Source organism: Homo sapiens, chromosome 6 (assembly GCF_000001405.40).
Source record: "Homo sapiens chromosome 6, GRCh38.p14 Primary Assembly".
NCBI classification, from domain to species: Eukaryota; Metazoa; Chordata; class Mammalia; order Primates; family Hominidae; genus Homo; species Homo sapiens.
The window spans coordinates 80,155,040-80,180,845 of NC_000006.12; the positions used below are offsets into that span (position 1 = coordinate 80,155,040).

Genomic DNA, 25,806 nt, shown 5'->3' on the forward strand with positions numbered 1-25,806 from the left:
ATTTATTATTAAATCAAAGTTTGAAGTAGCCCTTTTTAAAAGGACTTTAAAAACATATTCCTGATTAAGGAAGTTTTCCTGATCATTTTTATTCCTGTTTTCTTAACATGCTTTTTATTTTATTTCATTGTTGGTAGCTAGGTCATGCACTGTGACAGTTTTATAGTAGCTATCTTATTTGCATAGGTTTTTGGAGAACATATGATGGAATTTTAGGACATTGTCCTCAAAGACTTATTACATTCAGATTAGCTATTTAAAACTGTTTTGTATTTGTGGCTGTGGTGCCAGATAACAAGGTCTAATTTAATATATTTTAGCATTTGTGACTTGAGTAGTTTGCAAGAGACAATGTAGGAAATAAATTTCTCTAGTAGAAAGAAAGGGAAGCAATTGTTGATTCGGGTATCAAGCTGCCAGTTACTGGCTATTGACTTTGGGCTAACCACTTAAGTAACAATTCGATTTCCTTATTTGAAGACTATGGGGTTAGTGGGAAGGTTTTCAATAGCACTAGGATTTTGTCATTTTGTAATTAGTTTTTCTATGTGCTCTTTTCATACCCAACCATAGTTTTTACAGATCATTGAATTATCACATTGATTCTATCACATTAATTCTTTTGTTCTTAATTTACTTAAAGAACACGTTTTTACCCCTTGTGGGATTACTGGTAAATATAACATTGAATTTCTTTTTTTCCCCAATAGATGCAATATAGGAATGTACTTATATTCTCCTTAATTTAGAAATTCATTTTAAAATAAAAGATTAATTTACCTCATAATAATGCAAAGTTGTTTTTTTTTTTTTTTTTAGGTTTTCTTTTTTTGAGTGCTTGGTTGTTTGGAGCTTAGTTGTTTTTTTGGTGGGATGCGTGAGAGATTTCTAAAATAGTGCTTTTAAACATTTGCCACAGCTCCATGGATAGTTTGTTTTAAAAAATACTTTCCCCCCCAACTTAGTCTTAAGTAGAATTTTTCTTCTAAAATTGAACAGTGGAGTCAATTATTTTATTTGTCCACCTTCTCCCTGCCTGGGGTACTGTTTCTTTAACTGGTGTTAACCAACCCTCTGTGTCCATGAATGTATTCTGAGAGTTCTCACATTTTCTATGAGATTTAAAATTTGGGGTTTTACTGTCAACGATAATCTTGAGAAGGTAATATAAGCTTTTTCTGGGTCATCTGAATCATTTGCCATGCAACTAGATACTACCACATGGTAAAATTAGTGTTGGTGTTTATTATTGTGTTCATGGTAATGTGAAGGCCAACTACTTCATATTATCTGAAGTGTATGAGGCTTTCACTGAGATTCAAATAACAAACAGTGCTAGGAGCATCCCTGCTTGCCACACCCAAAAGAACCTGCATTATAGAGATAACATTCAAGTTGTAGGCAGAAGAAAGATTACATTTTTTAATAGAGCAACTTGTAACAATCATTAGAAGTAAGTGTATCAGTAAGTACAAAAAGAATTTTCTATACTTGCTTCTAGTGATAATTGAATAAGGCACACATATAATGCAGAATTCAATATGGCTGTGATACCAACCATATCTTTAAGTGACTTCCTTAAATTAGTGTTCAAGGACTGCTTGTTAGTGGTTTTGTTTGGAACGAGGTCTGATTATCCTTAACTGGTTAAGGAAGCCATGAGGTTATCAGTACTGTTGTGTACAGTGCATTTAGGTGAATAGGTATTCTTTTCATTAGAATGATTAAAGTAAAAACAAAAACAGAAAGAGATTAAATATATTATCAAACTCAAAGCTTTGTTGGTGTTGACATTTCAGCAGAAAACCGTTGTTCATTATGCCATATTTTTTACTGTTAATTTGAATTTAATTGGTTAGGTAGTTACTTTTGTATTTAATTTATAAATTTGTTTTGGCTTTGTCTTTTTATCAGGGTAATAAATGCTAAGTTTTGTTTTGTATGTATTAAAATAACATATTAAAAGTGGTTTAAGTTGGCATTAGGAGTGTAAGAACACATTTTTCCCTTAAAAGTTGTATATCTAGTACTTGGTTTGAGAAACCTCAGTCTATGATACTGAACATTATTGTATCATAATCATGATAGCTAACCTTCAACTAGATGTTTTCTATTTCATTTTCTATGGGTTGCTTAAAATTGTGACTTTTCTCCTTTTCTGTCATTAAAAAAATTAATTTCTCTAATACATGGCTACCTAAAATCATGACATAATCCACTGATCTGTGTGTGGGTAGTTGCATATTCAAAATATTGTTATCTGGCCTGATTTTTAGTTTCTGTGATTTTTGACTGTCATTTCTATTTTAATATTACTATTTTGGGTTCATTTTTCATTCATTCATACATTGAACAAATGTTTTTAAAATTCCACTATGTACAAGGGATTGTTCTAGGCACTGGAGATTATTGGGTGAGAATTTTTTTTTTTTTTTTTTTTTTTGAGATGGAGTTTTGCTCTTGTTGCCAAGGCTGGAATGCAATGGCACGATCTTGGCTCACCGCAACCTCCGCCTCCCAGGTTCAAGCAGTTCTCCTGCCTCAGCCTCCGAAGTAGCTGGGATTACAGGCATGTGCCACCACACCTGGCTAATTTTTTTTTGTATTTTTTTTTTTTTAAATAGAGACAGGGTTTCTCCATGTTGGTCAGGCTGGTCTTGAACTCCTGACCTCAGGTGATCCGCCCACCTCGGCCTCCCAAAGTGCTGGGATTACAGGTGTGAGCCACTGCGCCCGGCCAAGAATCTTTATATTTGGGTGGGCCTATAGTCTCTCTTCACTGTCAGATTTTCTAATTGTTTAAATGAAAAATTTCATGTTTATATTACATAGTACATATCTATTTCAACTAAACTAAATCTGTCTTGCTGACATATCTAGATATCTTAGTACTTGGTGTTACCACGTCATGATTGCCATAGACATAAATGTCTCTTTAGTCCAAAATGATGGGTCTTTTAAGCTTGTTCATTCAAACGATATTACTGAAAGACTGGTAAATTCAAGAGGTTGTAGTAGGCACTATTGGACTACTGATGAAATGAATGAGACAGTCTGTGTTCTTAGCAGAGGAGCTTAGAAATTTTAATCCAGTCACTGAACCCTTGAAACTAATTTGGGCTTTGCTGTGTGTTGACATTGTTGTATCTATACCCAGAATTGCAGACTCATTGATTACAGAGGGGCTTTTGCATTTAATAAACATTCATTCAGTAAGCATTTACTAAGCACATACATTTGTTTCTGGTTGATTTTTATCTTCTTTAATTTGTCTCTTAGCCATTACGATGACCCAGATATCTTGCCTTGGAGTGTTCAGAATAATAGGGTAGAATCTGTAGGACAAGGTTCACAAACAGCTATTTCTAAACAATGCTTCTTGGAGGTAACAATTTGAAGAATATTGTTGTAGGATAATTATAATTATAGGTAAACTTCCTAAATCTGGAAACCTTGGAACCTGTCATATTCTAGAACCATAAAAATAGTGCTGCTTTAAAGCAAAAGCAGAATTAGATAGAGGGAGATGTCCAGAAGAGATGCAAGACCAATGACAGCCTTGGCCAACCCTGTGGGATCTGTGCAATCAGAATGACTCTTTTGCCAACTAGTTGTCCCTAGTTGGGCTGAAATGACCAGGCCTTTGTACTCTCACACTGATCAATCAGTGGATGGGAGATGCCAAGCATGACCTCAGTCTAGGAAGTTCACTGCAGATAAAACAGACCCTAAAGGGTGTGATAGCTGAAGTGCTGATATCTGTCAGCCAACAGATTTCTTAGTAACCAAGGCAACATGGTGGGTGATCTTCACAAATGGGTGATCTGGGCTTCATGCATCATAGTGTTCACCCTAGGCAGTAAACTGTGACGATTACCTTGATGACAGGATTGCTTATTCAGTGTTCTTTTTCATTTTCTACCTCTGGATCATGAGTAGCCTAATTTACGATGCTAATATGTGGTGGATTAGGTGTGAGTAAGGGGAACACCATTTTCCCTTTACTACTTTCAACTTAGGTGTTAATATTTGGTAACTCTAATAATAAGGTGACTATAACCCTTGGTTTACCCAGGTTAGTCCTGTTTGCCTAGAAATACCCAGTTTAAGCCTGTTGAAAATCAGTTAGCTTAGGAGAAATACCTAATGTAAATGATGAGTTAATGGGTGCAGCACACCAGCATGGCACATGTATACATATGTAACAAACCTGCACATTGTGCACATGTACCCTAGAACTTAAAGTATAAAAAAACCCAAAAAAACAACAAAAAAACTATCTTCTCAACTAGTACAGAGACTAGATTAAAAAAAAATCAGTTAGCATCTAACATCTGTTAATTATTTTTAGTAACTCCTCACAGTCTCAGAAGTATCCCAGTTTGTATCCCAATACAAGATAAACTGTATTGTCATTCTACTTAGTAATTTTTTAAATTTGCGTGCATATTCATTATTTAAGCATTTTTCTGGCCTGTCTAATGAATAGAATGTTCTGTTTTCCATTTTTTAAGAGGCAGAAATGGTCTTCTGGATTAGCTTTGTATTTTTGCTTTAGTTGACCCTAAAACAAATGCGTTTTATCTTTATCAAATTTTTCATCATCAAGCTTTAATATATTGTGAAATCACAACATATTCTATCAAGTATACTATGACTGAAATTACTGGATGTATTATTTATTTCTGTCTCCCACTGTTACAATTGTGTCTATAATGACTTTTATTTCCCTGGTTTATTTTGTAGCTTAGTCACAAATATTTATGTTCTTATTTATCTTTCTGCTCAGAGACTGGGACCTGAGCTGTTTCCCTGATGGAGTCAATCATTTTCCAGAAGGATATTCCGACCTATTCAAATCTAGGTCCTGAGGAAACACAACTTGCTTAGAAATAGACAGTTTTAAATCTGCTTTTACAGAAATCTTTTACAGAAATCCATAATGGAAAGAAGAAATTTAATTTTATCCCAGATAGATTTAATAACTTGCAGATCTACTTTGTTCATAGATAAACTCTAAAACTAATTAAAGCTTCTGAAAAATGTCTAGGGACAGAAGAAACAGATTCTTAGTGATTCCTTTAACCTATCAGGAGGTAATAGGCTGTCACCTTAAGTCATGCTTTTTCGTTTTCTTTTTTTTTTCTCATTCTGTCTCCCAGGCTGCAATGCAGTGGTGTGATCTTGGCTCACTGCAGCCTCTGCCTCCTGGGTTCAAGCGATTCTCCTGCCTCAGCCTCCCAAGTAGCTGGGTTTACAGGCATGCACCACCACACCTGGCAGATTTTTTGTATTTTTAGTAGAGATGGGGTTTTGCCATGTTGGCCAGGCTGGTTTCGAACTCCTGGCCTCAAGTGATCCGCCCACCTCAGCCTCTCGAAGTGCTGGGATTACAGGCCTGAACCATCACACCGGCTTCTTTTTCTTAATTGTTTCTCTGCCCTCTTTTCCCTATTTTTCTGGTCTATAGTTGTGGCTGAATGTTAGATAGGGAATAGGGTTCACTGGTGGACTCAATTTTACCCATTTCTAATTGCTTAGCAAGAGGAGTCACCTGCTGATTTTAATATGAAGTTTAGTATTGTGTAATGGACAATATCTTTAACAGATGGTGTACTGCCAGTGATGTAGAACTTCTTAATCATGCTCCCTTTACAAAAGAAGAACACTATTAGAAAGCGATGGTATGATTTTATACTTGATCTTCAACAAGTGAGAAATTGATAAGTCAAATATACAGTCAGCCATCTGGCATTCCACACATGTTTTCATTGACTTGGGAGATCATGGAGTTATACAAAGCAGGAGTAGCACAATATAAGAAAATGGCATGTTATAGAAATATTTATTTCTTTTATTTTAGTTATCTATACTATTGATCAGCAACAAGTTTATCAGAAATTTTCATTTTATTCAGCTATCTGAGTTTAGAAAGAAGTAATTCAGATGGTATTTACTTTTTTTTGCCCAATCAAAGCTGCTAGGCATTGAGGAACTGTTTCAGAGTGGGCATAGTTTTTTCCTTCACATGAGGTCAAAGCCACTAACCACTGAATTAAACATTTGCTGAGCTTGGTTTGCAGCACTTTGATTGATATAGATTCCTTCTTGCAACTTCTTTGAGCCTCCGAAACTTACTGTGTCATTATAGACCCCAACTGCCTTTAAAAGATAGGAATTTCAACATCCTACAATTTAGTCATCATTTGGATGAATGACTTAAATTATTATATATTTTAGGAATATTAATTTTTTATACTACCTGAGCTAAGCTGTGTGAAATTATTATCTTATGACATACACACTATTTAATATATTGAATTTCAGAAAGTTGGTTCCAAATATCAAATAGCTGAGTAGAAAGTAGAAAAAGACAATCCAGTTGCTGAGAATGGGGCAGAAAAAAAAAATGTGATTTCTAAATCCAAAGAAACTAGCTCCCCTTATCTAATTTATCCTTTCAAACTAAAAATATGTTAAATGCTGTCAGTGTGCCGGGTAAGTAAGTGCTAAGCACTGACACTCCCCCTCCTTGTCCTTATGGACCTCAGGCTGATCCTCTTTGTTCCCAGCCTGGCTCACTGTCACTCTCTCCAGCATTCCTGTCAGTGTCCACATGGATGGTCTTTTCAATATTCTGGCTTCTCAGCTTCTTATCCTTTTCTTCTCTGGTGATCTTATCCTCCATCCTACATCAGCTTTTCATTCTTACAGCCATACTCTTGTCATTAGCAATAACAGTGGTCTCTGCATAATCTCAGTTTGAAGCATCCTCAACTCTGATTAGCATTTTGAATCTCACTGTAGCTCACTGCTTCTAGTACCTCCATTCCAACAATCTTTTGACCTTATTGATTCTTAAAAGCCACGGATTTTACCACCTTGTTGCTGTCTTTCATTTCCCTGATTACCTTTCTTTCTTTTACATCCAGTTTAAATTTCATGTCAATATTTGCTTGGCAAAATCTAATTCTAGTTAAATCCATCTCTCTGTGTAAATCCTGAGCTGAATGTCACTGGAGCAAAACATGCCATGATGCAACTGGTCTTTAAGTTCAAGGCTGGGAAGTTCCGGGGCACTCATGTTGCCTGCCATCATGCTGCATGTTCCGGGTCCATTCGGTCTTCCATTCTCCCAGATGACTATTTCATACTTTTTTCCCCCTCCTCAAAACAGCTTCTCCCATCCTTATTGTTAGGTAATAATTTAGTTTTGCATTTTACTGAAAGGATAGATGCCACTAATAAGAACTTGGATAAGCTCTTATCACTGCATATATCCATGTACCACCATCAATGCCCATATGCCTTCTTTCCTCCTGCACTCTGAAAGAATGTAAGGGTTCCTATCAACCCCTCCACAGTAGATCCCTTCTTCTCTTGTCACCTTTTCAAAGACACGGTTCCAGTTATTATTCCTTCTCTCCATTTTATTAATTTTCTCAAAATAATCAGTGTTCTCTTCTCTACTGATCATTCCCATCAGCCTGCAAATATGCTGTTATTTTTTCCATCTTAAAAACCTGTCTTGCTGGGTGCAGTGGCTCACGCCTGTAATCCCAGCACTTTGGGAGGCTGGGGCGGGTGGATCACCTGAGGTCAGGAGTTTGAGACAAGCCTGGCCAACATGGTGAAACCCCATCTCTACGAAAAATACAAAAATTAGCTGGGCGTGGTCGTGGGCGCCTGTAATCCCAGCTACTCGGGAGGCTGAGGAAGGAGAATCACTTGAACCCAGGAGGTAGAGGTTGCAGTGAGTGGAGATTGTGCCACTGCATTCCAGCCGGGTGACAGAGCGAGACTACATCTCAAAACAAAAAAACCCAAAACTCTCTTGACCCCATATTCCCCTCTAGTGACTGCTCCCTTTCTCTTCTCTTCTCTCTCTCTCTTTTTTTTTTAAGACAGAATTTCACTCTGTTGCCCAGGGTGGAGTGCAGTGGTGCCATCTCAGCTCACTGCAGCCTTGACCTCCTGGGTTCAAATGATCCTCCCACCTTAGCCTCCTGAGTAGCTGGGACTACAGGCACGTGCCACCACACCCGGCTAATGTTTTTATTGTATTTTTTGTAGAGATGGGGTTTTGCTGTAGGGTCTTGAACTCCTGGGCTCAAGTGATTCTCCGAAAGTGGTGGGATTACAGGTGTGAGCCATAGCGCCTGGCTTCTTCTCTCTTTTATAGCACCGTTTCTCCATATAATTGTCACTACTCATTGTCTTCAATTTCTCTGCTTCTATTCTCTATTCTCACTTGAAGTCACTGCAATTAAGCTTTTTTTTTTTTTTTCTCTTCTCTCCTACTTTGCAGAAACGGTCATGTTAAGGTCACCAATGATAAAATCCTCAGTCCTCATCTCACTTTTTAATAGCAGTATAGACACAAGTTAATCACTCTTTTCTTGGAAACACTTCCTTTTGGGACAACACATTCTCCTCCTGGTTTTCCTCCAAACTCTGGCTTGTTTTCCTTCTCAACTTGGCTGATTTATGTCTCACCTGCTTGTCTTGTTAACATTGGAGTATCCAGGCTACAATCTTAGATCTCTTCTTTTCTCTCTATTTAAATTTACTAGGTAATCTTATCCCATCCCTTGTTATTAAATGCTGTCTTTATGCTGAAGACTTCCAACTTATATCCAACAGTCTAATTGATAGCTCTACCTGAATATCTGAGGGCATCTCAAAGTAAACATCTCCAAACCTGAGCTGCTGATCTCTCACCCAACATGCTTCTTCACAGTTTTCCCTTTCTCAGTTACTGGGAACTCTGTCCTTCAGGTTACCCAGGCCAAAAGACTTTGAATCATCCTTAGTATTGCTGTGACTCATACTGCACATCCATTTCATCAGCAAATCCTTTTAGCTCTATCTTTAGAGTATATCCAGAGTCTCACACCATTTCTCCACCTTCTCTGCTATTATGCATTGTTATCTCTTACTGGGATTATTGCAGTAGCAGATAATCAATCTTGCTGTGTCCACCCTTGCTATTGACAGGCTATTCACCAAATACGAGTCAGAAGGATCCTGTTGAAATGCAGCTCAGAGAATGGCATGACCGTACTCAAGAACTTCCTGTTTTTCTCACTCACCTGCTCTCTGACTCGCTCTCACAGTAAAAGAGGGTTTACAATGTCCTCCAGGGCCCTGCTTGATCATCTACCCATTCCATCCTGTAACTCCTTGACTTTATCTCCTACTACTCTTTCTTTTACTCTAGACCAGGCAATCTGGACTCCTTGCCCTTCCTCTGATATATTAAACATTTTCTTACCCCATGGTTTTTGTACTTGATGGTCGCTCTGCCCAGAATATTTATTCTCTCAGATATATGCATGGTACACATCCTCATTTATTTAAACCCTTTGCTTAACTGTCACCTCTCAGTGGGGTCTTCCCAATGTCCTTAAAAATCATAGTAGTTTCCCTCCCTCCATCACCTACTCCCCTGGTTCATCATCTAACAAACTAAATATTTCCTTCATTTATTTTGTTTTTATTGCATTTCTTGTGACTAGAATGTAAACATTCATGAGGAATGTTTTCGTTTTGTTTGCTGCTGTTAGGAAAGTGTCTGTATAATATTAAGTAGTTTAAAAACATTTGTTGAATAAATGTATGAATTATTATAGTCTTTTCAGTGTTATAATTTTTCTATTACACATAAGAAATGGAGCCTTAGAGTGTTTAGTAATCCGTGGAGGTAACACTTAAACCCAGGTCTTTCTTGGCTCATAGTGCAGTCACTCATGTATTTTTTCATCTATCAGGACACTTACAGGGTACTACAGGAACTTTACATTGGATGAATTGCATTATAAGATAGAGGAAGTCATCAATATTGTGTGTCTTATTTGTGCTCTTCTCCTCAATCAGTATCTGGGAGAAAATAGAAACCGATTTTTAACAGTTCATGTTGAAGCACTTTTTGCTACATCATAGAAACTTGTCAGAGAGACTTGTTAAACTATTTCCTCAAATCAAACATGTTTTGGGGTAAGAGAGTTCTGAGAAACTCACTTTTTTCTGCTTTCTATTGGCAACAAGGCTATATTTCTTACCGAGATGAAAAATATCTAAATCCCATGAACTAGCAAGGAATCAATAAGAATGCTGCTAGTTTGGTTAAGGTGGTTCAGGTATTCCAGGGCTGTGAATTCCATGGGAGACAGCTGGAATTTACGTTCATTTTCTACCACTGAGTTTTTGGTTCACTGGAATCATAGATTTTCAAAGATTATCAAGCTACTCACAGTCAAATAGGGAATTGATGAGGAATAGAGGTCACAATTTCAGAAGATAGTCACAGATCATGATGAGTATGAATCATGCTTTCAGTTTTTGCAGCTGCTTATAGCCTGGCAAACTACAGGATGTGTCTGGTCGGCATTTCCCAACACCTGCCCCATGTTTCGTTCATATTCAAAGGAAATGATTAAGCTAAAAGTGAATTCTATATATGAAAAAGAACTGGTATCCTTGGATTATGGAAGTGAAATATGAATACCAGGTTTCTCCCAAAACATTTGGTTACATGGCCAGACTGTGGCTATTGTCTTTGTCCACCCAGAATCCTGAAATTATAATTTCTAATGAAATTCTGGCATGAGCTGAGAGGTGGTGAAACGTCAAGTGAGAATTGAATTATACGCTAATAAAATTGTACCTAGTGGTTCGAATGGATCGTCTAAAGGGTTTATCAAACTTCTCTAATTTGAAGGGTCTCAAACTCCAAAATCTGCCTCCTTGTTGGTGGGCACAGCTCTTTTAACTGGGAGAGATTATTTGCTGCTGGGCTTTTGGAGTGTCCTGTGGGCACAAGTGTTGGCAAGGATTTGATCAGTTTTTGCACAGATTTTGGGGCTCCTCCATGCTGTGCCCTTCTTTTAGGGATTTAGTCTCTCAATTTTCAACCACTGGTAGCCACAGACTATTTTCTGACACCTCAGATCAACCAGACTGAGTCTATTTGTTTGAATTTTAGCTGTCCTGACTCATAGACTGGGGAGTCCTTTTGCAGGACAAGGCTTATGAACGTCATGGTCATCCACTGGGCTTAATTTCTTTCAAGAGTCAAGACTCCAGTTTATGCCTACTTTTGGCCCTTCAATGCCTTTAAATAGTTGTTTGTTTTATTTTGCCCAGAGTTTATAATCATTAAATGTGGAAAGGATAGTCTGAAAAACGCAACTCTGACATTACGTTCAGAACCTCAATAAGATATTTTGTATAGTTTTTTCATTATTATTCAATTTAAAATACCACTTTCTAATTTTCATTATAGTTTCTTCTTTGAGCTGTGAGTTACTTAGCTATTTATTAAAAAAAATTTCTAGCCAGGCCCGGTAGCTCATGCCTGTAATCCCAGCACCGTGGGAGGTCGAGGCGGGTGGATCACCTGAGGTCAGGAGTTCGAGACCAGCCTGGCCAACATGGTGAAACCCCGTCTTTCCTAAAAATACAAAAATTAGCTGGGTGTAGTGGTGGGCGCCTATAATCCCAGCTACTCGGGTGGCTGAGGCAGGAGAATGGCTTGAACTCAGGAGTCAGAGGTTGCAGTGAGCTGAGATTGCGCCATTGCACTCTAGCCTGGGTGACAAGAGCAAAACTCCATCTCAAAAAAAAAAAAAATTCTAACATAAGAATTTTTTGAATGATCTTTTTATTGATTTCTAACTTAATTACACTATGGTCAGAGAATATATGTAATTTTCATCTTTTAAAATTTGTTGAGATTGGATTTGTAGTCCAGTATATGGTCAATTGATGTCAGTGTTTTCTGTTTAATTGAAAAGGATTTGTATTCTTTGCTTCTGGGTGCAGTGTCCTTTGTATGTCAGTTAGGCCATGTTTGTTGAACATGTTTAAATCATCTCTATTTTTCACACTCCCTCCTTTTTTTTGGTATGCCTTTTTTGTCAGTTATTAAGACTAGTACATTAAAAAATCATCTCCCACTATGTGGTGATTTTGTCCATTTGTCCTTTTAGTTGTGTTGCTTTTTTCCATTTATTTGGAGCCCATTGTTAGATAAGTATAGATTTAGAATTATTTATTTCTTGTGAATTGAACCCTTTAACAGTATGCGTTTTCCCTCTTTATCTCTGGTATGTTTTTTTCCTGAAAGTCTACTTTGCCTGCTATTAATATAGTGACATCAACTTTCTTTTGGTTAGGTTTTTTATTGTCTATTTTTTCCTTCTTTTTTCTTTTTTTTAACAACCTTTCTCTGTCTTTAGAGTTTGTGTTTCCTTTCAAATAGTTGGGTTTTCCTTTCTTTTAAATTAGTGTGACAGTTTTTATTTTCATTGAAACATTAGATTACTTACAATTAATACAATTATTAATTGGATTTAAATAATTCACCTTACTATTTTTTTTTAATAGAGACAGGTTTTCACTATGTTGGCCAGGTTGGTGTTGAACTCCTGGTCTCAAGTAATCCTCTTGCCTTGGCCTCCCAAACTGCTAGGATTACAGGTGTGAGCCACCGTGGCTAGCCATACTCTTTATTTTCTGTTTCCTCTACCTGTTCTATACTTCTCCATCCCATTATTAGTTTACTGAATTTTTAAATGTATTATGCATGACATTACTCTCATTTGCCACATTAACCTTTTTTTCTTTTCTATTTTAAGGAAAAGATAGAGTTTTTAATACCCCATTGTGTGAACAAGGAATTGTTGGATTTGGAATCGGAATTGCGGTCACTGGAGCTACTGCCATTGCGGAAATTCAGTTTGCAGATTATATTTTCCCTGCATTTGATCAGGTAAGTGAATGAACATTTCTAAGGTTGTTCATTCATTGAAATATTCAAGTATTGCCGCTACCCTTCCACCCACCCTTACCTGCATTCTAAACATTTTATTATCCTTTTACTAATGTATTACAATTATAATTTTGTTATGAGCATATATTTAAAGATCTAATAGAATAGTTTAAGCAGATAGATTGGGATTGGGTGAAGTGGCTCACATCTGCAATCCCAGCACTTTGGGAGGCCAGGGTGGGAGGATCACTTGAGGCCAAGAGTTCAACACCATCCTGGGCAACATAATGATAATGAGAACCCATATCTACAAAAACTACAAAAATTAGCCCAGTGTGGTGGCACATACCTGTCATCCCAGTTACTCTGGTGGCTGAGGCAGGAGGATAACTTAAACCAGGAGTCCAAGGCTACAATGAACTGTGATCGCAGCACTGCACTCCCTGGGTGACAGAATGAGACCCTTTCTCAAAAAGAAAAGAAGAGAGAAAGAAAGAAAGAGCGAGAGAGAGGGGAGAGGGAAGAAGGGAGAGGGGAGAGAGGAGAGGAGAGAGGAAGGGAAAGACAAGACCCTGTCTCAAAAAGAAAGAAGGGAAGGGAGGGAGGGAGGGAAGGAAGAAAAGGAAGAGAGGGAGGGAGGGAGGGAGGGAGGGAGTGATGGGATCCTGTCTCAAGAAAGAAAGGAAAGGAGGGAGGGAAAAGCTCATTGTGCTATGGGAAAGGAAGGAAGGAAGGGAGGGAGGGAGGAAGGAAGGAAGGGAAAGACTCATTGTGCCATGGGAAAGGAAGGAAGAAAGGAAGGAAGGAGGGAGGGAGGGAGGGAGGGACGAGACCCTGTCTTAAGAAAGAAAGGAAGGGAGGGAAAGACTTATTGTGCTATGGGAAAGAAAGGCAGGCAGGCAGGAAGGAAGGAAGGAAGAGGGGGAGGGAGGCAGGGAGGGAGGGAAAGACTCATTGTGCCTTGGGAAGGGAAGGAAGGAAGGGAGGGAGGGAGGAAGAACGGAAGGAGATTGGAAGGGAAGGACTCATTGTGCCATGCCCCGTCTTTCTTTCTGACCCTCAGATTGTTAATGAAGCTGCCAAGTATCGCTATCGCTCTGGGGATCTTTTTAACTGTGGAAGCCTCACTATCCGGTCCCCTTGGGGCTGTGTTGGTCATGGGGCTCTCTATCATTCTCAGAGTCCTGAAGCATTTTTTGCCCATTGCCCAGGAATCAAGGTATGTTCATTTATGTACTTTATTTGATTTCTATTTGATGTTTCCATTTTGATTCATTCTATTTAATATCTATGCTTATCTAGAGGAAAGAAAACAAACAGGATTCTTGGAATTTATGTGAACTTAACTGTATTTAAGAAGGGGAGGTTAGCAGTTCTTTTAAGTATGCTATCCAATGCCCAGTTTTACAGCAAGTTCTTTTTGAAGGAGGACTGGTTTTATAAACTCTGGCATTGATTAATTTTATAGACTTCAAAGAATAAGACCAAGAACATAGTTGGTTTACCTCCCCTCTCTTTCAAAGCTTTATATTTCTTTCTAACTTAAGTCTTTCTCACTTAACTGATGATGGGGTGATTTTAATAAATCTTTTGTTTAGTCTGTATTTACCTCAAAGTCACAGGGATAACACTTTTGCTTTTAATGTATTTCTTACTTGTTAAAAAGACTAAGAGAAGACTGTTACCTAGATTTTTTTTTTCTGTTTAAAGTTAGGTAATACTTGCTCAACCAATTAATTTTGAAGCATCTCCTTTTTATAACCTGTCTTTCACAAAAGCTTAGGTCTTTTGATGGTAAAAATATTTTGAGTTTTTTATGTCTTAATTTTTTGTATTATCTTTTCTGTTTCTGTTTACTGAATAAGCTTTTCAGGGGATCATTGTAGAAACCCATAGATGTGTGAATCCAGAGATGTATATTTGTTTTTTGACCACATGAATTGATTGTGAGCATGTGTCTATGTTTTATTCTTTTTTTCTTATTTGTTTTTTCTACCAGATCAAAGTTATAAGCTTATCTTAGTTGAGTAGATGTTGCCTGATTTTTGAATGTGAGCTAGAAGTTGTAGACTGGGAAAGAAGCCATGTGCGAGGCAAGTTATTTTTGTGCTTGAGCTAAACATTAATTCACATTTAATATTTATAACATTATATTGTTTTTAAGAACAGATCTTTTCTGTCTGTCCCCTGCCTTCTCTTTTCCTCCTTCATTTTCTTTCTTCCTCTTCCTTTTTCCTTTTTTTTTCAGCTGAAATGAAAATATACTTAAAGTACAAAAGGCTAATATGAAGAAAGCAGATGAAGGGAACTTAAAAAGTAGGAACATAAGATAAAGACATTGTGTGATATGGTTATTAATGTGTTCAGAGGTCCAGAACAGAAAATAAAATTTTTTATACAGAAAATAGTGACATTTTTGCTGCTCTTTTATTTTTAAAATAAAACCCTTCAATAAAAATGGCATAAAAATGGCTTTGAAAGCCAAATATAGTTTGCCTCAGGGAATCTTAAGTCTTTGTGGTAAGTTCAGGTTTATTTTAATAACTCTTCCTATATAATATTTGTCTTTAAACAATTATAATCATTTAAAATTAGACAAAGTTTGTGATTTAAGTCAACATTAGATAGAAGTTAAGAGCTTGAGCTTTGGTATCAGTGGGAATTGGGTGAGACTCTTTGATCAAGCAAGTCGTGTGACCTTAGGCAAGCTACTTGTTCTCTCTAAACCTCAGTGTCTATTTCTAAAATGAGGAACATTATAATAGCTACCTAGTGGGGTTGCTATGAACAGATGAATTAATTCACAGAGTGCTTGGCCAAGTTTACACGTGTACTTCCTACTGTCATTATCATCTTCCTTGTCATCACCCTCATTCTCGAGAAGGTCCTGGAGCCCTTTCCTGTGAGTGGAAGTGTGGACTATCCACACTTTTGTTTTTGCTTTGCTATATAACTGGACACTATGGTGCCTGGACTGTAAAACTCAGTGGACTAATTTTTCACTTATGAAATGAAGACCATATTTTTTTTCATGGGAAAAGAAGATTTTGACATGTTAAAACTGGAGAAGAGAGTTGCATGTACTTTGAAAGTAGAAACAGATTATTAGTAGAAGAGATTTCTTCATAGATAAACACAGGTAGATATTAACAATATTACAGTTTTTTGCTTTGATGAATGATCTTTGCATATTCTTTTTATTTTTTTTATATAGGCAAGTTTAGCTTCTTAAGAGTAGTATCTTAGTTAACAGAACATGGTAGACATCTGATAAATATCTGTTGAATAAGAGGCATTTTTATTTTTATATAATATGTAAACTTAATAAGTGATAATTAGGCTTAAAATAAATAGCCAATATCTATTTTTAATTAGTAACAATTGATTATTTAAATATCAGCCCTTCTTAGCAGCGAGTTTACTGGGATATATTTTTACTAAAATTGTCTTAAAAAAATCTGTTTTTGCAGGTGGTTATACCCAGAAGCCCTTTCCAGGCCAAAGGACTTCTTTTGTCATGCATAGAGGATAAAAATCCTTGTATATTTTTTGAACCTAAAATACTTTACAGGGCAGCAGGTAAAGATTTTCTTTATTTTATATTTGTGAATATCTTTATATACTTTGTTTTTTATAGCTCTAAAAGTTATATCTTTTTTTTCTATATGGTTGATTTATATTTTCCTTGTAGAAAGAATCTTGATTTTTTTGGTATTTAGTTTGTCCTCAGGTGTAAATTTTATGTTTGGGAAAAATTCATCTAGCCATTTTATATTTTGATTGTGGAAACAAAGAGGAAATCTGAAGTGGTAGCAACAATAAAGGGACTATGTTTAACCACATAGTAGGTGCTTAGTAAATATGGATTGAACAGAAAAGTAAATGAGCTCATTTTACTAAATAGTATATGTTTCCTTTTAACTAAAGTGACCATAAAGGTCTTCCTTCATTTAAATCAGGATACCTTTGACTGTGAAGGAGGTGCTGTTAACAATTATGCTGTGCTGTCAGGTCTATGCTGGGATGACTGTGTAAAGCAAACTAAGGTGTTTGGTCATCCTCTTTTTAGCTCAAAATCCTGATTTTATAAACATACATCTGTGACTGCTAATTTCTTCACTGTAATGGAAATTTTAAATAGCAAATGATTTTTTTCTGTCTAAAGCATTTTAATCACTCCTGGAAGCTTCTTCCTCACTCTTCACAATGGATCCATTCTCCCTATGCCAAAAACAGCCACTTTCTGATTGCCATCAGATTAGGTGTACATGTGTTTGGGCTTCATATAAATCCATGCACACTGCATATGTTCTTTTGTGTTTGCTTTCTTTTACTCAACCTAATGCTTTTGAGATTCATTCATGTTTTTGCTTGTATCAGTAGTTTATTCACTTTTCTTTGCTGAGTAGTAGTCCATTGTATGAATATCTGTTGTTCATTTCTATTACAATAATATTACAATTTTGTACAATATTAGAACATTTCTACTTAGTAAGGAACATGGTCATTATATTGGATGAATATTCACTGTTCATTTCTATTACAATAATATCTTACAACTGTACAATATTAGAACATTACTACTAAATAATGAACATTGTCATTACATCATACGAATATTCATTGTTCATTGATAGTATTATTACTACTAAGTAATAATAATTTTTCTTGTTATTCTTATTTTTCTAAGTATTCTAGTTACTAAGGAAAGTAGCTTGGCCCTCTTCATCAAGGTAATTTTTTGTGAATAGTATTAGCATATTGCAACTATGTTTCTGGAGCCAGCCTGCCAATAAATGCTTCTTGGCTGTGGGGAAAAGAACACCCAAAAATCTGAGGCGTGTACAGTATTGTTTAATAAGTAGCATTTCATTGTATGAATAGATCACAATTAATTCATGGCCCATGCAACTGGGCTTCTGTTTCAATGTATCCATTCCTCTGTGATGAGTTTTTCAAAGTGGATGTGTCATTTTACACTTTCATTGGAGATTTTTCAGAGTTCCTGTTGCTCTTAAGTTTAAAAACAGATTTTAAATTGACTCTAGATTTATATGGACTCTATTATAGTCTGTATCCCATTATGTAATAAAAATGAATGTAAGAATTTAAAATTTTGAAGTGAATAGGAAAATATCAATGATATATTGTGAATAGCTTTTTGATGAAAAGGATTTCTAATACTTTGGATATCCTGTGGCTATTATAGTTATAATGCCAGCCAGCTGTTATAGCCAATCAGTAAAGAAATTTTGCAGTATTTAATAAATGGCAACTGAGTAAGAAAGATTTGAAAAAGTAATATTTACTTTGCTGCAAATTTTGAAACCAGAATTGGTCAGGCAAATACATTTACAGGATTCTAGCTAAGAGAATGCACTTGAAAAATTTGTCCTAGGCTTGGCCCTGGGAGAGATTATGAAAGACCCTGATGAGGTTCAGTATTCAAAAGGTTTCCAGAAATTTCCCCATGCTTGATCATGTATCATTTCAAGGATTCTAACTCTGAATCCCTTCTTGACTCCCAGGGGCTCAATAGAGGTCACAGTGATATTGGCTCTTTCATAGCTAGAAAGCTTCTCTGCAGAAGAAATTAGGATAGGAAAAAAGGGCTAACCACCAAAGTCTTCATATTAGTCTTCTCTAGATGGTTGTCTAAGTTGTTCTCTGGGCCAGCAGAATAATCATCACTGCTAGCTTATTAGAAATGAAAATTGTCAGTTTTTATCCAAGACTTGCAGCATTAGAACCTCTGGGAGCAGAGCCCAGCTCTCTTTGTGTTAGTAGCCCTATAGATTATTCTGATCCATGCTCAAGTTTGCGAAACACTGCCTGAGGTCAGTTCTGAAACAATAGCTGATGTTGCCTGTGTCCATTTATCTTATTTTATTCTTAGTTCTTATATAGAGAGGATGCTTTTGACCTATGGTTTTCTTAGATTTGACCTCTGGTTCAGTATCACTATGACTATATTTTGGTTTCTACTTTTCCTTTTTTTTTTTTTTTGGATCTTCTGACCCTGATTCTGTAATTTTCTAGCCCTGTGTCTCAGATGTACTTTACACTGGTGGTGTAAACTCCAAACATACAGTTGTTTGGAATGATATAAAAGGAATGGTGCATTGTGATTCAGCATTTGATTGAGGAGGCCTCTGGAAGACATTCTGTATTGAAGGAATCAAAGAGACAGTTAAAAGAAGGTGCTTTACATTCATTTCAAAGACCAGAGCAGCCTGACAATTTCTAAGTGGTAGTATACTTGCAGTATCCATAAGTAAAAATTTAATAGATTGACTTTTTCCCCTACATCCCTTCTTTTTAAATTTCTTGTGTACATTTGGGAATAGTTAAAATTGAATGGATGAAAACACAAAATTGTACATTTAAAGTTTTTTAGAAGAGTTCATATTGGGACTCATAATGGTTCATGGATGGACTAATAAATATGGATGTAGAATTATTATAAATACTGGCTGACATTTATATAAAAATAATTGGGAGTTAATTGGGAGCTACATTTTTACATAATGGTCCATTAGGTTAATTATGCAGTACTATCGTTCCTCAGTATACTCAGGGGATTTGTTCCAGCCCCTCTACCCCAATACCAAAATCCAGAGCATACTCAAGTCCCATGGCTGGCCTGTGGAACGTGCATGTACAAAAAGTTGGCCCTCCATATATGTGCCTTTCATAGGCCATGAATGGTATATTTTCCACCCACATTTAGTTGAAAAAAATTTGCGTATAAGTGGACCCCTCCAGTTCAAACTGTGTTGTTCAAAGGTTAACTGTAATCTTAACCAAATGGAACATAGTCAAGTATAAGTAAGGATACAAAAAGAGGTAAGTGAATGCCAAAGCTGGGCTTTTTCCCTAAAGTTATCTTCCAGGTCCTGGACACATTGATCTTCTGCTTTGATGATTCTATAGGGCACTGAGGATGGGAGATAAAGTACAGAGCTCACTTTAGGTAGAGACTTTGCTAGGAGCCCTTGATTAAAGCCTGTGGGACCACATCTGCAGTGTGAGGTGCAAACTTTGGAATAGTCTAAGGTAATATTTACAAAATCTATGCATTTAAGACCTTGTATTTTATTTATGGAATGGTATCTTAAACACATAAATACATTTATGAATTATGTAATTCCATAAAGTTAGATATGTTAAGTTATGCTAATATAAGGCCTCAAGTAATATGGAAATTTATTTATCTCTAATATAAATGTCTAAGTTGGCAGTCCAGGGCTAGTGTGATAGTTCCTCAGTCATCAAGGTACCGGGCCTCTTCTCTCTGGTTACTGTGCTGTCTTCAACATGTAGTTTTCAGTTCCTGGTCCTAGGTAGCTGCACCAGCTCCCAATGCCACATATGTATTTCAGCTACCAGGAAGGGAGGAGGAGGAAAGGAAGGTATTCTCCTTCTCTTTAAAGAATAACTTGAAGATTGCACACATTAAATTTCGCTTCCCACGGGTCACATCTAATCATATGGCCATGACCACACCTAACCACAGAAGAGGCTGAGAAAGCTAGTCTTTGGCTTAAGTGCCTAACTAAAAATGTTATTATTACACAATGACAGGAAATGGATATTGAGGGACAACTACCAGTCTCTACCACAATTACTTGCATGGTTTCCAAAAGAAGCTATAAATTTTAAGGAGGGAAGAGATCTGTTTGAAATAATTCAGCTGTTTACCCTTTGACTCATAGTCCACTTCTAGGAATCCATTTTGGAGATACATTGGCAAAAATTTGAAGAAAATGTTACTGGTCATTGCAGTGCCCTTTAAACGAACAAGAACTGGAAACAACACATTTGCCCATCACTAGAGGATTTTAGGTTAGTTGAATAAGCTAAGCTCCATCCATCTGATGGGTTACACTGCATTGTTTAAAGGAAGGAGACAGATCTCTTTATATTGTGGTAATAGTCAGGGTTTGATTGGAGACCAAAACTAGAAGAAGCAAAACTGAAAGATATAAGAAATATATTCTAAGCATCTGACCATTTGCAGCTGTAAAAACTAGTTAAACAGTTTAAGAAAGATTGTTGCTTCTGTGTTTGATGCTATAACCTGAAGTCCACGGGGAAGACTGTGAGGAAAGGAAGATGGAAATAAAGTAGGGGGGAACAAGAACAAAATAGAACTTGCTACAGTGGATTGGAACTTAGGTCCATCTCTCACCACCTCCAAGGCTTAGTGTAGGAAAAACGTTGGCTGCTAGGAGACCGGGTAGGCGGCTGTTTGAATAGCCTGTTTATATGATATCATGGAGAAGGCCTGGATTAGCAGAAGGAAATGGGTTAGAAATTTTTTTAGATTATATGAAATATTTGGTGTCTAAATGAATTTAAGGAGGGGAAAGGAGAAGGAGGTGTTAAGAGTAAGTGTAGAATAAGATTTTCTTTTCTGGTATTAATGGAGGAATAGTAGATTAGATAACCTGAAATAAATGGTGTGTGATTGTGTGTGTGCTGATTTTAAATATATACTGAGCTGGCATGAAAATTAGAACGCTGCAGAGTTCAAAAGCAAAGTGGAGCTCAGAATTCTGGGAGGTAAGTGAATGCCAAAGCTGGCTTTTTCCTTATAGTCATCTTCCAGGTCCTGGACACATTTAACTTTTCTTTGATGATTCCATGGGGGCACTGAGGACAGGAGATAAAGTACAGAGCTCACTTTAGGTAGAGACTTTGCTAGGAGCCCTTGATTAAAGCCTGTGGGACCCATTCACAGTGTGAGGTGCAAAGGTGGCAGGATGGAAACTTACCTGTCTTGCTCTATCCTCTTGGAGAAGAAAAAAAAAATCTCTTCTGAGAGTTTTTATCACAAGATGAACCTTACACAGGATTACAATTTGAGTATGTGCTAGTAGTGCGGTCTGAAAGCACTTAAGCAGATAATTAAAAGTGATTCTGTGTGGATGGTGTCCATGAAAACTGTTGGAAGGAAACAAAATCCTCTCTGGAGTCACTTCAACTTAGGTTAGCAACAACCCAGATACTCCCACAGATAAAGCTCCGAGTAAAAGATAGAATCCCTTTGAGCGGAAACAAGAAAAGGAAGCTATAAACCCATGTAGACTTTAAATATTAAAACTATTTTATAAGAAATGCAAAATGAAGGCCACGTGTGGTAGCTCATGCCTGTGATCCTAGCACTTTGGGAGGCTGAGGTGGGAGGATCGCTTGAGCCCAGGAGTTTGAGACCAGCCTGGGCAATATGGTAAAACCCTGTCTCTACACAAAAAATGCAAAATGTAGCCAGGTGTCATGGCATGCGCCTGTGGTCCTAGCTACTTGGAAAGCTGAGGTGGGAGGATCACCTGCGCCTGGGGAGGCTGAGGCTGCAGTGAGCCATGGTGGCACCACTGCATTCTAGCCTGGATGACAGTGAGACCTTGTCTCAAAAAAAAAAAAAAAAAAAAAAAAAAAAAAGCAAAACATGGGTTTCATATTAAAAAAAAGGAGACACTTGAGAATACAAGAAGGTGACAAGCAAAGTTGAAGAAAAACAACAGAAGGTTTAAAAAGAAAAATATAATAAAAATCTCCAATGGTTTAAGCCCAGAAATTTATAAACAGATAACGGGGGAATTGATAAACTGGAAGATAAAACCAAAGCAATAACCAGAATATAATCTAGAGAGATAAAGAGAAAGGAAAGAGAGGTTGAATGTAGAGGGATACTGAGAAGGTCTAAATACATCTAAGGAAACAAACATGAGTGTTTTTCCTAATAATATTTATCAGCAAAATTTTGCTGATAAAAAAGTGATTCCCTGGCATATTTTTGCCATTTTGCCTCATCAGAACTAAACCAGTGCAGTAGGAAATATTTCAGGGAAGCATCAACTACTGCCTGCTTTTCCCTCCTGTAGTACTATCAAGGTAGAGATGTTATTTTCTCAAGTCTGGAGTAGTAGTCCATATATAATCTCTAAAATAAAGTAGGTAAAGGATACTAGGTAAAGGGTTCCTTAGGAAGCTAAAGGTAGGCATCAACAAGTTAACTTGTCAACTTTAAAAACAATTTACCTGTAGTGTATAATTTTAATCTGTATCCATATCATTTATATTACTAAATCCTGTTTAAGAATGATTCACTTACAGAGGTAAATGCAAGGCTTTTGCTTATGGTTGCTGGGCAGAGCTCTCACTCACTGGTTAACCTGGGCACCTCTGGGTTTCTTCTTTTCCTTGTAGAACATACTCTTTCCATGCTTACTGCCCTTATCTTACCCAATGTGGTTCTGAAGGGGCTGACAGTCATCTCATCTGACCTGCATGATCTCAGGACATGGCCATGTGCCTCTATCTCAGCCATTCTGATTTCTTTTCTGGTATTTTCTACGTGGAGTCAGAGTTTAACTTTCTATGGGTGGTTTGCCTGGGATGATGGGAGACTGGGGCTCCAAATTACTCTTACTCCTTTAATCTTCCTTTGATTAGTAAGCTTCTTTCACATCTCTCCATTTAATCTCATTTTAAGTTTAACATACTTTGAGTTTCAGTCTCCTGTAGATGTTACTAATAGGTAATTTTGACGAATACATAATCTTGGCTAGAGAAGAGATGCCTCTTTTAAGATGAAAATATCCTTCGTTAATAGCACAATAAACTGCAGCTGTCATGATTTAACACAGATACTTCTTTTGTCTTAATAGGTGAAGTAGGAACCCCCTCTATTTACTCATAATCATATTTCATAAGGTTGCTGAGAGGATTTAAGTGAGATTATCCATGTGTGTACCTGCCTAGTCTTTAAGTACCATTAGAACACTTATGTGCTAGACGCTGGGCTATCTTGTGTAGACATGGGGACTATGTCATTTAATTCTCACAACCAGCATATCAGGTAAATTCTGTCATTATTGCCATTTTATAGATGAGGAACCTAAGGATTAGGGAAATTAGACAACTTGCCCAAAGTCACACAACCAGGATTGGGCATGTTTGGCACAGATGGTGACTTTTAAGAAACTTGCTCAAGCTCACAGAAATAATGAGCGATGGATTTAAGTTTTAAACCAAGACATTTTGACACCAGAGGCTGCCGTCTTTCTAATACTACCCTATTTTGCATCCCACCTAATTATTATTGAATGGAGGACATAAATGAAATATAACTTCCTCCAGTGTCCTAGTTTCATGTCAGGAAATAGCTGTCTAGTTTTTAAAAGTTTCCCACATAATTAAAATGATCTTATTTTTTATTTTTTCGAGACAGGGTCTCCCTCTGTTACCCAGGATGGAGTGCAGTTGTGTGATCACAGCTCATGGCATCCTCAAGCTCCTGGGCTCAGGTGATTCTCCCATCTCAGCCTTTGAAGCAGCTGGGACCACAGGCATGTGCCACCATGCCTTGCTAATTTTCGTATTTCTCAATTTTTTTGAGTTTTTGAGAAACTCAATTTTTGAGTTTCTCCATGTTGCCCAGGCTGATAAAATGATCTACTTTTTAACTGAATGGAAATATATACAGTTGGCGCTTTTTATCTGTGGGTTCCAGAGCCATAAGTTTAACCAACCATAGATTGAAAATATTTGAAAAAATAATTACACTGAACATGTACAGGCCTTTTTTCTTGTCATTATTCTCTAAACAATACAGTATAGCAGCCATTTACATAGAATTTACATTGTATTAGGCATTATAAGTAATCTAGATATGATTTTAAGGATAAGGGAGGTTGTGCATAGGTTCTATGCAAATCCTGTGCCATTTAGATCAGGGTTCTGAGCAGCTATGGATTTTTGTATCTTCAAGAAGTCCTGAACCAAACCCCCATGCATACCAAGGGATGACTGCACTATTCATAGCCATGACTTAAGGTAGTACATCCCTATGTAGTATATAGTCCAAGGTTTGAATATATATATATTGCATTAATTTCTCCATTGGCATAGGATTAATTTGCTTCTTTGAAAGTTATAAAAACTACATGTCACAGTCTGGTCTGGTTACAGGTAGGGGGTTTGGGAACCTTTGCACCTTGTAATCATTAGTCATTAAGGGACCTAGTCATATGTCCCCAGATAGAGGCAAAGGCAGCTGGGAAATGTAGTCTTCCTGCATTTGGGCAAGAAGAGATGAGGTCGTTTGGCCCCTGTGCAGCATTGTGCCAGTCACAGTTCCTGTTGATCTCTCTGACTCCATCATTTCTGGGCCTGATCTCTCTGACTCCATCATTTCTGGGCCTGTGCTCATAAACTGCTCTCTGTGCAAACCTCTGGGCTGTGGTGACTCTCCCACATGTCCAGCCTTTAGAAATGATTTCTTTCAATTCAACCATTAACTTTATAAATCGTACAGATGAAAATAAGTCATATATTCTTTATGCAGCAATTTTCTTGAATTTTATTTCTCCTTATTTTGAATATGCAATCAATATATATAAAACTTTAGGTTTCCTGAACATAGAAGGAGAAAGTAACCTAATAATATTTTCGATTTCCTGATTATTTATTGTAATTATGACATTTGAGTGCAATGAATCTTTTTAGAAATGGAGAAGGATGTTTAGAAAAGGTAGATAAGGCAGAAAAATCCAGCTGGTGTAAAAAATGTACAAAATAGTGATGATTCAAAAAGAGTGAGTCAGTGTGACATTATCACATATAGGCATCTTGTGAAGAAGATATTCTTTAATGTCTTTTGGTTTTACTTAATTGAATGACACATGACATCAGTGATATTGAATTAAATATGATTTTCATCTGTGATTCTTCTAGTGGGAAATCAAGACAGACTAAAAGACTAAAATCCTTGTATTGTTTGTCTTGTTTCTAGGATTTCTGGATAATCCAAAAATACGTAAAAATAGGACATAATGATATTGAGGAACTTTTTTAGCAGATGTACTAATTGTGTATGAATTCATATATTTTGAAGAGACGAACATTATTTAAAGTAGCTTTTTAATGGTAGAAGACTTAAAATATTTTTTGCCAAGTATCAGTGTACGTAAAGAGAGAAATTAATATTTTGTATTTTACATTAAGCAGATTAATTTGTGCGGGTTAGT

General features: G+C 36.8%; 1 protein-coding gene across 28 annotated transcripts in view; it reads left to right on the top strand.

Annotated features, from left to right (window-relative positions):
- The window catches only part of BCKDHB (branched chain keto acid dehydrogenase E1 subunit beta), a 360,067-nt gene that overhangs the window by 48,430 nt on the left and 285,831 nt on the right, over positions 1-25,806 (top strand). For 22 of the 28 annotated variants that reach the window (XR_001743546.3, NR_187564.1, NM_001318975.1 and 19 more), the window contains exons 4-6: positions 12,639-12,772; positions 13,836-13,991; positions 16,243-16,351. Coding sequence is in view for 21 of the 28 variants with exons in the window: in NM_001318975.1 (NP_001305904.1) it covers positions 12,639-12,772; positions 13,836-13,991; positions 16,243-16,351 (399 nt within the window). In the remaining 7 variants the exon portion in view is untranslated. Of the gene's footprint in view, positions 1-12,638; positions 12,773-13,835; positions 15,178-16,242; positions 16,352-25,806 lie in introns of those variants that run through there. The other 6 variants (NR_134945.2, NR_187562.1, NR_187563.1 and 3 more) reach the window with 3 other exon arrangements.